This window comes from Homo sapiens, chromosome 1 (genome assembly GCF_000001405.40).
Source record: "Homo sapiens chromosome 1, GRCh38.p14 Primary Assembly".
Classification (NCBI taxonomy): domain Eukaryota; kingdom Metazoa; phylum Chordata; class Mammalia; order Primates; family Hominidae; genus Homo; species Homo sapiens.
The window spans coordinates 29,115,811-29,128,138 of NC_000001.11; the positions used below are offsets into that span (position 1 = coordinate 29,115,811).

General features: G+C 58.4%; 2 protein-coding genes across 59 annotated transcripts in view, besides 4 other annotated features; one reads left to right on the forward strand and one right to left on the reverse strand.

The window, feature by feature from the left end:
• EPB41 (erythrocyte membrane protein band 4.1) overlaps window positions 1-4,231 on the forward strand; it is a 232,942-nt gene extending 228,711 nt beyond the window's left edge. For all 57 annotated transcript variants that reach the window (NM_203342.3, NM_001166005.2, NM_203343.3 and 54 more), the window contains one exon: window positions 1,009-4,231. The gene's annotated coding sequence lies outside the window, so the exon portion shown is untranslated. The remainder of the gene's footprint in view (window positions 1-1,008) is intronic.
• On the reverse strand, window positions 3,619-8,093 carry TMEM200B (transmembrane protein 200B). 2 transcript variants are annotated; one of them, NM_001003682.4, is made up of 2 exons: window positions 8,046-8,093; window positions 3,619-6,038 (listed from the first exon to the last, which is right to left on the reverse strand). In NM_001003682.4, exon 2 carries the CDS (start codon window positions 6,016-6,018, stop codon window positions 5,095-5,097), a length of 924 nt encoding a protein of 307 aa, NP_001003682.1. In that variant the 5' UTR covers window positions 6,019-6,038; window positions 8,046-8,093; the 3' UTR covers window positions 3,619-5,094. The 2 variants fall into 2 exon arrangements, with proteins under 2 accessions (NP_001003682.1, NP_001165339.1); NM_001171868.2 differs by lacking the exon at window positions 8,046-8,093 and adding an exon at window positions 6,554-6,691.
• Window positions 5,448-5,827: a silencer, noted in NCBI's record as "silent region_552". NCBI's record gives its function as "represses an Ori minimal core promoter by ATAC-STARR-seq in GM12878 lymphoblastoid cells {active_cell/tissue: GM12878}" and the evidence as "EXISTENCE:reporter gene assay evidence [ECO:0000049][PMID:35858748]".
• Window positions 7,507-8,366: an enhancer, noted in NCBI's record as "H3K27ac-H3K4me1 hESC enhancer chr1:29449829-29450688 (GRCh37/hg19 assembly coordinates)". NCBI's record gives its function as "activates a minimal SCP1, AML or CMV promoter by ChIP-STARR-seq in primed H9 embryonic stem cells {active_cell/tissue: H9 hESC(primed)}" and the evidence as "EXISTENCE:reporter gene assay evidence [ECO:0000049][PMID:30033119]".
• Window positions 8,367-9,226: an enhancer, noted in NCBI's record as "H3K27ac-H3K4me1 hESC enhancer chr1:29450689-29451548 (GRCh37/hg19 assembly coordinates)". NCBI's record gives its function as "activates a minimal SCP1, AML or CMV promoter by ChIP-STARR-seq in primed H9 embryonic stem cells {active_cell/tissue: H9 hESC(primed)}" and the evidence as "EXISTENCE:reporter gene assay evidence [ECO:0000049][PMID:30033119]".
• Window positions 9,227-10,086: an enhancer, noted in NCBI's record as "H3K27ac-H3K4me1 hESC enhancer chr1:29451549-29452408 (GRCh37/hg19 assembly coordinates)". NCBI's record gives its function as "activates a minimal SCP1, AML or CMV promoter by ChIP-STARR-seq in primed H9 embryonic stem cells {active_cell/tissue: H9 hESC(primed)}" and the evidence as "EXISTENCE:reporter gene assay evidence [ECO:0000049][PMID:30033119]".

Consider the following 12,328-nt stretch of genomic DNA (forward strand, 5'->3'; position numbering starts at 1 on the left):
GCGTTCCTGCTGGGGCTGAGGGTGCCCACAGTCCCAGCCTGAGAGGGCTCTGGATGGGACCCTCGGACACACTGGGAGCCCATCCCCACAAAGAGGTGTTCACCCTGGGACTTGATAAAGGCAGACGAGAGGCTGATGTGGGAGATATAGGAAATTAAGTATTTGGCTCCAACTAAAGCAGCCTGTAGCAGTGCCAGCATTATTGGGTAAGAGGAGGGACCCAAACTTGGATATAAGCCCCCAGCTACCCTCTGAGTCTTCATGCATCCTGCTGGAGATCCACTTCACCTTCCCCCTCTCTTCTCTCTACTGCTCTGCTTGCTGCTGTCACAGGTCTCTCTTTTTTTTTTTTTTTTTTTGAGACGGAGTCTCATTCTGTCACCCAGGCTTGAGTGCAGTGGCATGATCTTAGCTCACTGCAACCTCCGCCTCCCGGGTTCAAGGAATTCTGCCTTAGCCTCCCAAGAAGGTGGGACTACAGGCATGTGCCACCATGCCCAGCTAATTTTTGTATTTTTAGTAGAGACGGGGTTTCACCATGTTGGCCAGGTTAGTCTCGAACTCCTGACCTCAAATGATCCACCTGGCTTGGCCTCCCAAAGTGCTGGGCTGGGATTACAGGCATGAGCCACCGCGCCTGGCCAGTCACAGGTATCTTTGAGCCAGAACCTGGGAAAGCCAGAGGAGAAAAAACCAAGAAGAGCAGGATCAGGCTGTCTGGAGATGGGTGGGCATGCAGAGCAGGGAGGTAATGGCTGAAGCTCTGAGACCAGAGTAGAGAGCTGGGAGCAGGGAAGCTGCTTTTTGGGAACCAGGGATCCAGATAAATTCATGCCTAAAAGTAATTTTAAAAAGACTTGAAGAAGCCACCAATCTCACTAGGTGGGACCAGGCCCTGTAAACCTGCTCACATCCCCATTGTCACTGATGGCCACAGGAACTTGGCAATGGGACTAGGAAGCTTTTTCCTTTGCAGGATTTTAAATTTTGCTTCTTTGTTTTCTCTAGGAACTAACCTACCCCAACTCTGCCCTTCTCCCATCCAAGAGAAACCAGCAAAATGATAAAGAAGCTAACCTGCCATAGTCAGACTTCAGACTTTCAAGATTATTCTAAATCACCAGAAAATTAATTTCAGTTTCTATTGGGAGTTTATACCAAGAGATTCTTCTAGATCTCATTGATCCTTTTGAAGAGCTTTTTCTATATTAGGATATCAGAATTGTTCAACTTTTCACTCTATAGACTGTTTTAAGAGTTTTGGGGTTTTTTTAATTGGGTGGTTTGTAACCCCTTCAGCCTAGCCTCTCTGCCCATTTATTTCCAACCCCAACAGACACTGACAGGGTCCATGGAATTCTTCGGGAAATCCTCCAAGGACTCTTGTCAGCTGTGTTGGAAGCCAAAGCCAGCTTAGTGGGACTTCCGCGTCTCTCCCTAGTCTTATCCCCTTTGGATGATGGCAGAAACTTCATGAACCAGCCCTTTCTCAGAGCCAGTGATGTGAGTGTATCAGAATGCCAGGGAGGGCACCAGCCCTGATCCACAGACCTCGGAAAGATGCCCCTGTTCCTTTGTTGCGGGTGGTTTTGGTAAGGCAGAGCCCTCTGCTGAGAATGTAGTATTGTTTTTCCCCTCTCCCTCCTGCTTTCTTTTTGGAGCTTCTTTGGGTCAAAGACATGGAAGTTGCTTCAGATATCTGATACTGTGAATGTTTGAACATATCCGTGGCCTTCACCTCTCCAGCTACCCTTTTACCTCATCAGAAGCAGTGGCTCAGCTAAGTGCTCCCCCTAGCTCCCATCTCAGGAGACCAAATCTCACAGAAAAATAGGCACTTTGGGCCAAAAGCTCTAATGGAACATTTTTAGTGGTGATTTGGGGAAGGAAAGTTAATGAGGTTTTTAAAATAAGGTTTTCTAGTTTTGAGAGTGTGCACTTCACACAGGGGAATGGGGTTACTTCTGTCTGATCCTGGGCCTTTCTTTCATCCCAAATGACAAGGAATGTGGCTCAGAGAAGGGTTTTTCTTTTTTGACCTTTCTTCTCTCAACAGGAACCTGCCTGAGGACACCCTTCTAGAGCAAGGAATTGACTTTTAGGAGCCGTTCTCCCCACAAGACACCACATGACAAGGGGTATAAGCCCCAGCCCTGCTCATTCCCACTCACCAGCTGAGGTCTGTCAGGTTTTGAAGGCTTGATTTTGTGGTGGGTTTGGGGCTTAGTTTTCCTTTTTTTCATTTTGATTTTTGAAAGTGAAGATGATGCCCTAATTCCTGGTAAGGATTTGGGGCATAGTTTTTTGTTTTTTTGAGACGGAGTTTCGCTCTTGTTGCCCAAGCTGGAGTGCAGTGGCGCGATCTCGGCTCACTGCAACCTCCGCCTCCTGGGTTCAAGCAGTTCTCTTGCCTCAGCCTCCCAAGTAGCTGGGATGACAGGCGCACACCACCACGCCCAGCAAATTTTTTGTATTTTTAGTAGAAACGGGATTTCACCTTGTTAGGCTGGTCTCGAACTCCTGACCTCAGGTGATCCACCCACCTTGGCCTCCCAAAGTGCTGGGATTACAGGTGTGAGCCACCACGCCCGGCCGATTTGGGGCATTTTTATTTAACAGAACTTCTCTAACCTTCCAACTGCTTCCCACAAACACATTGGCCTCAAGGCTCCTTAGAATCCCAGTTCCAGCTTCCTAAAATAGACAGTGGGTATCGGGCAGCAGTCACTGGGGCTCAAGGGCAGTGAGCAAGAGAAATGTCTAAAGCTGCTTCTCCCAACACCGTCCAAAGTCTCCACTGCCTGAGTTTTGTTTCGGCTGGTTTGAACTCATTTCGGGTGTGTGCATTTTTCTTTTGGTACCCATGTGAGACATGAACAACAGGAGGGAGGGAAAGAGCCCAGGTGGGACGTGGGACAGGCTTAGGGGAAAGAGCTTGTCCTATCTCAGGAACAAAATTATAGGCTGTGGGCAGAGGGTCTGAAAGGTGGGCTTTGGGGTAGTGCCCAAGCCTGGTCGTGTTGCCAGGAGTGGTGACAAGAAATGCAGCTTACATCAAACGAACATGTAGTGCATGCCCACTGCCTGATGGCCAGATGGCCTGTAGGAAGAGCTACCAGGGCTTCCAGACCTGTGGAACGAAGAGGATGGGGAAAAGGCAGAGGGCACTGAGTGTCCCTTTAAAAACTAACCCACTGAATATTCCGTGTGATCTAGAACAGTGTGGCAGCTTTCACAGCACAGGACCGTTCATCGGGGGCCTAAACGTTTCCCTCAGCTCTGTCACCAACTCACTTCTCTCGGCTTCGTTGTCTGTAAATTGGATGAAAAGAGCTCTAATGCCTTTCAGGCTCTTAGAAGCCATAGATTTGGACAAGCCCAGCAAGATGGGTGTCCTTCCAGGCCTCTTCCCCTTTCCTCCATCTCTGGCAACAGTTCTTGGGGTTTGGCAATTGTTTGGATTTTTTTTCTTTCTGCAGTTGTGTGTATGTGTGTTTGTGTGAAGAAAAACAGACTCTGTCCAGGTAGAAATGGTGAGGAGGGGGAAGAGAATTACATTTCCAGGGTCAGAAACTTGGCAACAGTTTTCCTAGAGTGACTCAGACACACCACAGTAACAACTCTCGCTGCAATTTTATTTTAATTTGAGAAATAAAGATTTCCTCCAAGCCACATGAGGACTCTGGCACCCACCCACAAAGCAAGACCTGTATTTATAAGCCGAGGGCTCAGGGAGCCTAACTGCGGGACCCGTCAGGGCCCCGTGACCCATCCCCGTCCCCACCCCCCCCTCCACCGCTGGGCCCATCAGTGTGTGTTGGGGGGATGCTTGGCAGCTGGGGGTGAGGAGACAACAAACCTCGGGAACTGGAGCCAGAGCTGCGGCCTGACTGACGCCTTTTGATGCTCACGGGAAATTTCTGCCCAGGATCTCAGCCCCAGGCTGGTTGTTTCTACAAATCTCTCTCAAATGTATTATTTTGGTGACAAAAATGAAGGAGCTTTGTAAATTTTTTTTAAAATTATGAATCATATCAAGTAGTTGTTTACATTTCTTGAAAAAATAGGAACTCGGGCAGCAGAATCAGATTGGCAGAATCTTTAGACTACACAGGCAATAATCAAGTCTGCTGTTTTGGCCTTTCGTAGTAGAAGTGGTTGTAGTGTTTAGATATCTGTTTGGTCTTGCTTCTTGTATTGCATTTTTTTCAATAAACAACAACAAAAAGAACTCTCTCTGTGAGGATTGATCCACTTTTAAATTTCTCTTCTACCAGCAACTTGGGAAAAATTAAATATGGGTGGGGGAGACCTAAACTCAAGTCATTTTCTAAAGTAAGTTACCCACATTGACCAAAATGCAGCTTCAACGTTGAGTAAAGGGATTTCTGAGAGCTGGCCAATGCCTTTTGCCAGCTGCAGTGAGATTCTGCAGCATAGGCCACGATAAAGGAAGGAGAGAAGGGGCTTCTCAGACTTATTTGCAGAAGGGCCCAGAACTCAGTATGAAGGCATTGGCAGTAGTGTAGCTCTAGAGGGATATACCCCAGATGGCTGAGGGAAGAAAGGGATTGAGGTGGTAGGAGTTCAAGGCTCAGTCCCCGTCCCAGATGGCAGTGGAGAGTCTCATCCCGTGGTCCATCTTCCCAGAGGCCCCACACTCCATCACCAGTGCCGCCTTGGAGGGAGCCTGCCCCAGCCTGTAACATCCCAACCTACCTCCCAGTCTTAGGGGCCCTTGCCCACCACTTTCTTGGGTTTGCCAAGACACTGGGTACATCTCCCAGTCACCCTGGCCTGGACCTCCAGCCCTGTTAGGGCTAAGGCCACTTACAGAGGCTGAAGAAATTCCTGAGGCGAGTCCTCCACACCCCACAGTGAAACGCACCCTCTCCAGCTCACTGAGCCCTGGTGCAGCTGGCATTTCTCTGCCCGCATGCAGGTCAGGATGCCCTTCACAGCTGCTGTGGTCAGAGCATCCATCCCCAGCCTGGGATGTGACTGAAACATCTATTAGACGTTGGGACTCCTGGTCCTTTGGTCCTATTAGCATGGTCCATGCTGCAGCCTCAGAGCAGGCTGTCTCCCCTCTCTTCAGACCCGGGCCCCCAAGTCCCCTCCTCCTCCCAATTTGGCATAGCCCCCAAGACTGAGGCGGTCCAGCCGTGGCCAGCTTCGGTGAGCACAGTCCCGAGCTGCTGGGGCCCCAAGGAGGAGCTCCCCAAGGCCCAGATCCAGAGACTTGGAATGTTCAATGCAGGAGCCAGACGGCTGCACGGTGATGATCACATGGCCAGTCTGCGTCCGTGGACCCCAGGGTGGGGGCAGCCCGGGGCCCTTCAGCGGGTAGCTGTTGAGCAAGGCAGGTAACCCCAAGCGAGGATTAGCGGGCTCTGAACGCAGACTCCGCACTGACGGGACGGGTGAAGTACCCCGACGCGGGGACGGGTCCCAGATTTCTGGCTCTGCGCAGCCTACGGCTCGGGGACTCCTAGGGCCGGGGCTGGGAAGGAGGGCGCAGTCCCAGCCCGGGCCGTCGGGGGGCCGGAGCGCCTGGGCCCGCAGCACCCCCTGGCGGAGCCGTCGCGTCTCCAAGTCTCGGTTCTCATACAGCAGTGTGTTGGCGCAGATGAACACGAACAGGCCGACGCCCATGATCACCGGCCCGAGGAGCCGCAGCCGCTCGTGCGGGCCGTGAGCCCGGCCCCCGCCGCGACCCTCGCGTCGCAGCTCGCTCATCTGGGGCGAGCTGGCATTGGCGGCCCGGGACCCTGGGGCCCCGGCCCGGTGCGGCCAGTAGCCGGCCACTGCAATGCCCATACCCACCAGTACCACGAGCGCCCCCAGCGCCGCGAACGCCCCCGACGGCGAGCGCAGCCGCAGCCGCGCCCGCACCCGCAGAGGCTCGGGCGGGGAGCGCGGGCGCCGGCGGCGGCCCAGGCGGCGGCCCAAGCGAGAGACGCGGCCCTCGGGGCTCCTCCGCACCTCCCCGCATTCTTCGGGGCTCCCGGCCGTCATCTCGCCGTCGTCTGGGCGCTCTGCGGAGAGAAGATGGGAGGCAAGGACTGGACCGACGGGCCTCTAGCTTCAGGGCGCCAGGTTCGGGGCGCAAATCCGGGAGGGAAGCTCCGGCCGCCCAGCCCAGGCCGCTTGGAGATCCCTGGCGGCCACCCCCGGATTTTCCCGGGCGGCGAGGCGGGGAGCCGCCCGCGCTCGGGTTTTCCGCAGCGGAGCTCCGAGCCAGGCACGCGCGGCAGAAGCCGGAGTTGGCCCGGCCAGCGGGCGGAGAGGAGGGAGGGGGGCGCAGGCTGTTCCCTGGCGCATCCCGGGCTGCAAATCTGCCGCCTGCGTCCGGTCCGCAAGCCCGCGGGTCTTGGGCCTCGGGAAACGTGCGGCCCCCAGCTGCCGCGTCTCCAGGGTAAGTACCTCCCGGGCTCGACCCCACCCCCGCACGTGGCTGCACCGTAGCAAATGGGGCGGGGGCGCTCGGGCCTCCCAGGTCCGCAGGGGTCGCTCGCCGGGCCCCACCTCCCCCCTACTGTGCTTTACATACCGCAGCGCGGGAGGAGGGGGCGTCACCGGCTCCAGCCTCTCCCTGCCCGCCCCCTCCTTCCAGACCTCCTCCGCCCGCAGCGAAGCTGCAGCAGGAGCGACTTGAGCTAGACACCGGGAAGACCGCTCGGATCAAGACCAGCCAGGCAGAGGAGGAGAGGCGGCGCCGACTTCGCCCAAGATTTCCATCAAGTCCACGCATGAGAGGCCTCTCCCTCCCCCAGCGGTCGTGCTGGGGCCACGGCAGCAGGCGGGGGTGCCGGTGCCGGGCGCTGGGCCCCGCCGGACGGATGCCCTCCCGGCTCCCCCGTCGGCCCGGGCAAGGCTGTTCCCAGGTTGCGACGTTTCCAATTCGGGCTCCTCCGGATGAATCATCCCCCTTTCCCGCCGCCTGGCCTCCTTTCCCGCCTCCTCCGCCCGAGGCCTCCGTGGCCCGTGGCCCGGTCAGAGCAGCACCGCCCCTGCGCCTCGGGATCCGGGCCGCACAGCTTAAGCCCTCCCGATTGCTGGCCGCGCCCTGCCTGCGGCCTGTGGCCTGGATCCCGGGCCCAGCAGGAGTAGCCGAGCTGCGTGCGGTGTGGCCCCCACGAAAGGGAGGGCGAGGGAGAAGACGCGGCCCCCGCCCAGGCGCCCCAGGCCGCAGGAGAGGAGGCTCAGGGCCTAGCTGTCCAGGGTCGTCCTCACTGCTCGCGTCCGCTTCCTAAAGAACCACCGCGCTGGAGCCCGCAGCCGAAACCTCGGGGAGGCGGCCTTGCTCCCCGACCCACGCCCCATCTGCACCCCAAACCTCAAAGCAGGACACCCATCCCTGCCTCCGACTGGAGCGCTCAAGGCCCGGGCCTAGCAGGGAGCCGCCACTCTCCCGCGTCCAAAGCCTGGTTTCACAGATTGCAACTACGGCCCAGGGAGGCCGGGGAGACTGCCCGACCCCGCACTAGGCGGGGGCTCTGCCAGGTCCGACGCCGGGCTCCGGGGCCCCAGCCCTAGACCCCTCTCAGGACAGCCACGGGAGTATCCAGGAGGAAGCGAGGCCCATCCCCTCCTTGTCCCTGAGTTTGCAGCCCTTTCCCCAGCCCGCAACCGGAGGAGCGATCATCGCTTCAAGCCAGAACTGGCGCTCTCAGCCCCGGCTCCAGCAAGGTCACCCGGAGCCCCGCGCGTCGCTGCCGCGAGGGAAGCGAAAACAAGCAGAGTGGGGACATGGGGACACGCTCAGAGACCCCGAGCCGTGGAGGTAGTGGGCCGACGCTGGGGACACCAGGGAGGCGGAAACTTGGGGACACAGCGCACAGCCCGACAGAAGATGCTGGGGCCGAGTCCCCAGGACTCCAGGGTCCCGCCACCGCCCGCGTCCACACTCCCGCCTGGGGGAACGGGAGGGCCGCGCTCCCGCCCCCAGGGGCCCTGACCGAGGGAGGGAGGGAGGGAGGGAGGGACCAAACGAAAAGTTGGGAAAAGTGGAGTGCGGACCCCTGGACCCCAGCTCGGCTCACCTGGCGCCGCAGCGCCGCGCGGGTCCGGGTCCCAGTCCGCGCGCGGAGGCTCCAGAGCCGCCCGGGTCTCCACGGCCCGGCCCCAGCCCCGCCCCGGCCCCGCCTCCAGCCCCCGGGACCGTCCGACCCGCGCCGGGCCCGGCCCCACCGCCGCTGAAAGGCGGCAGCTCAGGTCAAAGGATCGCAGGTAGGCGCCCTGTGCGCGCCTGGTGACTCCGGGCACCCGTGGCCCGAGTTCTGCCATCCCCACTCTCCCACCCCCAGCTTACATCGGTCGCAAAGGCCCACAAAGGCGACCCCTTCCTACATGGGGAAACTGAGACCCGGGACCCAGGAGCCCCGACACCCGCACGTCCTTCCCCGCTTCCCAGAGCCCCTCATCCCAGGCGCCCGGGGAGCTTCCAGGAGGAGGCGGCCCGAGTCCCTGCTCTGCCCCGGTCCCGCAGCCCTTGCTGTCGCTGAACCTCGCGGACTTCATCTGTGCAATGGGCACCAAGGCTTCAGCCTCGCAAGATGCCGAGAGGCAAGAGCCAGACGCCAAGGGCCAGCCCGGGGCGACTCCGCAAAGCCCTCAGCGAAAGCAGCGCCCGGGGAGGGGCGGGCCTTGTAGCTGAAAGGACCGGACGGGGTGCGGATGTGCCGCCGGGTACTCCTAAGAACAGGCGCCCCTTCGCCAGTGGGGGAGCGGGCTTGTTCCCAATAACGGGGAGGGTGCTGAGAGCTGCGACCCCGCCGGCGAGCCCGAAGGGGGCGGCCCGGCCTTCGCGCCCTCCCGCCCCTGGAGGCAGGAATGCAGAGCGGGGGAGCCAGGGCGGCCGGCGGTCGGCCCAGTTTCCATGATGCGGGGGGCGGGTTCGGGGGAGGCGGCGACCGATTTCCAGGCTCAGCGGTCAGGCCGGGCCCCCCGGGAGGAATTTCCGGCCTAGGATTGATTAAGGCCCGCCCCTCCCCCCGGCCGTGGAGACCCCCGGCGCGCAGCCGGGGGGAGGGGCGCTAATGAGACCCGGCTGCGCGCCGCGGACAGGGAGGGGACCCGAGGAAGGGGCGGGCCAGGGGCCGGGGCCACCCCCCGACGCGGGGCGGAGCCGGGTCCCGGAGCCGCACGGCCAGGCCAGGCCTTGAACCTGAGCTCCCACCCTCTGGGTCGGCGGAGGAGAGTGGGGGTGCATCAGTGCCCCCCGGGACCCCCTCTTCCAGCTCTTAAAAGCCCCCTCGGGGGGTCGGTGAGGTAACGGGCGGACCAGAGGGACCACAGTGGGGAAGACCGAGCCTCGGCTCCCGGGCTTCATCCCTGCGAGGCCGTGTGCGAGATCGAAGCCAGGGCCTCCTTCTTGCCTCCCCAGTCCGACTGGAGGCTCCTGAGGTCTCGGTCCGCTCCACGGAGGCCTCCCTCCAGCATCTTTGCTTGGGACCCCCGCCCCCATCAATCCTCCGCTTCGTCCACTCCCCGCACACTGACCCCACCGCGGTCGCACCTCCGCCTCCCAGCTCTCCCTCCCACCCCTGGGCTCCCTCAATCCCACTCCATGCCTGCCTCTCCCAGCCCACTGCTCTTCCTCCAATAAGCCCGGCTTCTAGTCTGACTCCCTGGGCCCCTCGATCATCCCCTGCCTCCAGCTCTGTGAAGGGCCCTTTGTCCACCCAAGCACGGGGTCAGCCTTGGCCCCTTCCTCTCCCCCTCTCATCCCACTCACAGAGCCTTGGGGGCCCTGCTCTTTTCATCTGGGGCCAGCCACGTTCTCCCTTTCCCATGGCCACTGTCCTGCTCCGGCGTCCAGGCTCCTCCTGGAGCCCATGGTCTCCTGCCTCCCCGTGTCCTAGTGCGCTGCAGACAGGCAGCAAGGGTTTCCACTCTGAATCTGAGCCTGCCACTACCTGCTTAAAACCATCAGTGACTCCCCAAATCGAGTTGGAAATCTCTTCTTGTCTCCACGAACTGGCCCCGGGCCTCTTACACTCCCTCAGGGCTTGGTTGGTCCTTGCTTTCCGGCAGGAACACTTACCCCCTGGTCGTGCCCTTGCCACCTTCTACACATCCTTCAGACCCTGGGCCTTCCCCCAGCCCCCAGACCAGGTCAGTACCCGCTCTCCTGCTCTGTTGTACACCCTCACAACACCAGCAGCTTCCCTGTGCACCTGCAAACTGAACCCACTGGGAGTGGAGTCTGTTTCCTGTCTGTGTCCCCACTGGCCATGACTCTGAGGGGGCAGGACTAGGTCTGTCTTGCTCATCCCTGGAGCCCTGTGCCCAGCACAGTGTCTGCCCACAGCTGGCCATCCCCATTAGAGGAGGGTGTGCAGGCCTGTGTCTCCTTCAGCCCGAATACCTTCCTGATCTCCATGCCAGGTGCCCTGGCCCAGACAGCAGGAGAAAGAAAGGACTCCTCTCTGTCTCAGGCTCCTCATTTGTAAAAAGGGAGAAATAATACCTACCCCACAGTGTTGTTTTGAAGGTTAAATAACAGTTCACCTGTGGCCGGGTGCGGTGGCTCACACTTGTAATCCCAGCACTTTGAGAGGCTGAGGAGGGAGGATCACTGGAGCCTAGGCGTTCAAGACCAGCCTGGGCAACATAGCAAGACCCTGTCTCTACAAAAAAATTTAAAAATTAGCCAGGTACTGTGGCGCATGCCTATAGTCCCAGCTACTCGGGCGACTGAGGCAGGAGGATCTCTTGACCCCAGGAGTTTGAGGCTATAGTGAACCATGATTGCAAAGCCTGGGTGACAGAGTGAGATCCTGTTTCAAAATTTTTTTAAAGAAGCTGGGCCTGGTGGCTCATGCCTGTAATCCCAGCACTTTGGGAGGCCGAGATGGGAGGATGACTTGAGGTCAGGAGTTCGAGACCAGCCTGGCCAAATGGTAAAACCTCATCTCTACTAAAAATACAAAAATTAGCCGGGTGCGGTGGCTCACACCTGTAATCCCAATACTTTGGGAGGCTGAGGTGGGCGGATCATGAGGTCAGGAGATCGAGACCATCCTGGCTAACACGGTAAAACCCCGTCTCTACTAAAAAATACAAAAAATTAGCCGGGTACAGTGGTGGGCGCCTGTAGTCTCAGCTATTCGGGAGGCTGAGGCAGGAGAATGGCGTGAACCTGGGAGGCGGAGCTTGCAGTGAGCTGAGATCGTGCCACTGCACTCCAGCCTGGGCGACAGAGCGAGACTGTGTCTCAAAAAAAAAAAAAAAAAAAAAAAATTAGCTGGGCGCGGTGGTGGGTTCCTGTAATTCCAGCTACTCAGGAGGCTGAGGTGGGAGAATCACTTGAACCCAGGAGGTGGAGGTTGCAGTTAGCCAAGATGGTACCACTGCACTCCAGCCTGGGTGACAGAGCGGACTCTGTCTAAAAAGGAAAAAAAAAAAAAAAGCTTGTATAATAGAAAGATGACCAAATAAGGAAACAAATGAGTTCTTCAAAGGAGACTTAGTGTCCAGGAAAGGATTCTATGGACCCTGAGAGGATTTAGAGAAGAGGTATATAGGCTTGAACCCAGGAGGCGGAGGTTGCAGTGAGCCGAGATGGCACCACTGCACTCCAGCCTGGGTGACAAAGTGAGACTCGGTCTCAAAAAAAAAAAAAAAATTTAAGAAAGGGTTCACATGTTGAGTGCCTGGCACAAAGTGGGTTCCAGCAAACACCTCTCCCTCTTCTGATCATGACGTTTCAGGTACAGAGGGTAGTGTTTGGGGTGGGTAGAAACCTTCCCTGGGGTCACTGGGGTGGCAGAGGAGGGAAGGGCCCCCTTTCCCAGATGTCCTGTTTAATTCTCTTGAGAGCTCCAGGAGGTCAGTGCTATGCCCAGTTCACATATGTGGTTTGGAAGAGGCAAAGCGACCTGCCCACAGGCACAGCCAGGCTGATCAGTGCCCACTTCTCTTTGGAGGGACCCTCCCCAGGACTGCTTGGTTAGGCCCTGTGAATGTGCAGATGTGTGGGCTGCTAGTGGCCTCAATATTGGGACACTGATTGCTCCCATGAGGCCAGGACCCTTCCTGAATCTGCCCTGGCATCTGTGTGACCTGGACTCCACTTCTGAACTTGGAAGGCCTGGATGAGATGTCCCCTGGGGACCAGGGGATGAACATTTCTCCCCTAACCTTCTCTGTGGAAACAGGAAACCTGATTCAGTGACCCCGAAGCCCCTGCCAACCTGAGGCTCCGTGTCCTCTCCAGAAGCCACCTCGCAGAAGGAATGGCTGTTGCCTCCTGCATGTCCGTCCCTCTCCGGGCCATGGAACAGTGGGGCCTGCAAATTCATTTTCTCTCATCCCCACTTTA

What these genes read in the sequence shown, in the direction of transcription:
- TMEM200B (NM_001003682.4), bottom strand. Translation starts at nt 6,018, where the DNA reads ATGACGGCCGGGAGCCCCGAAGAATGCGGGGAGGTGCGGAGGAGCCCC.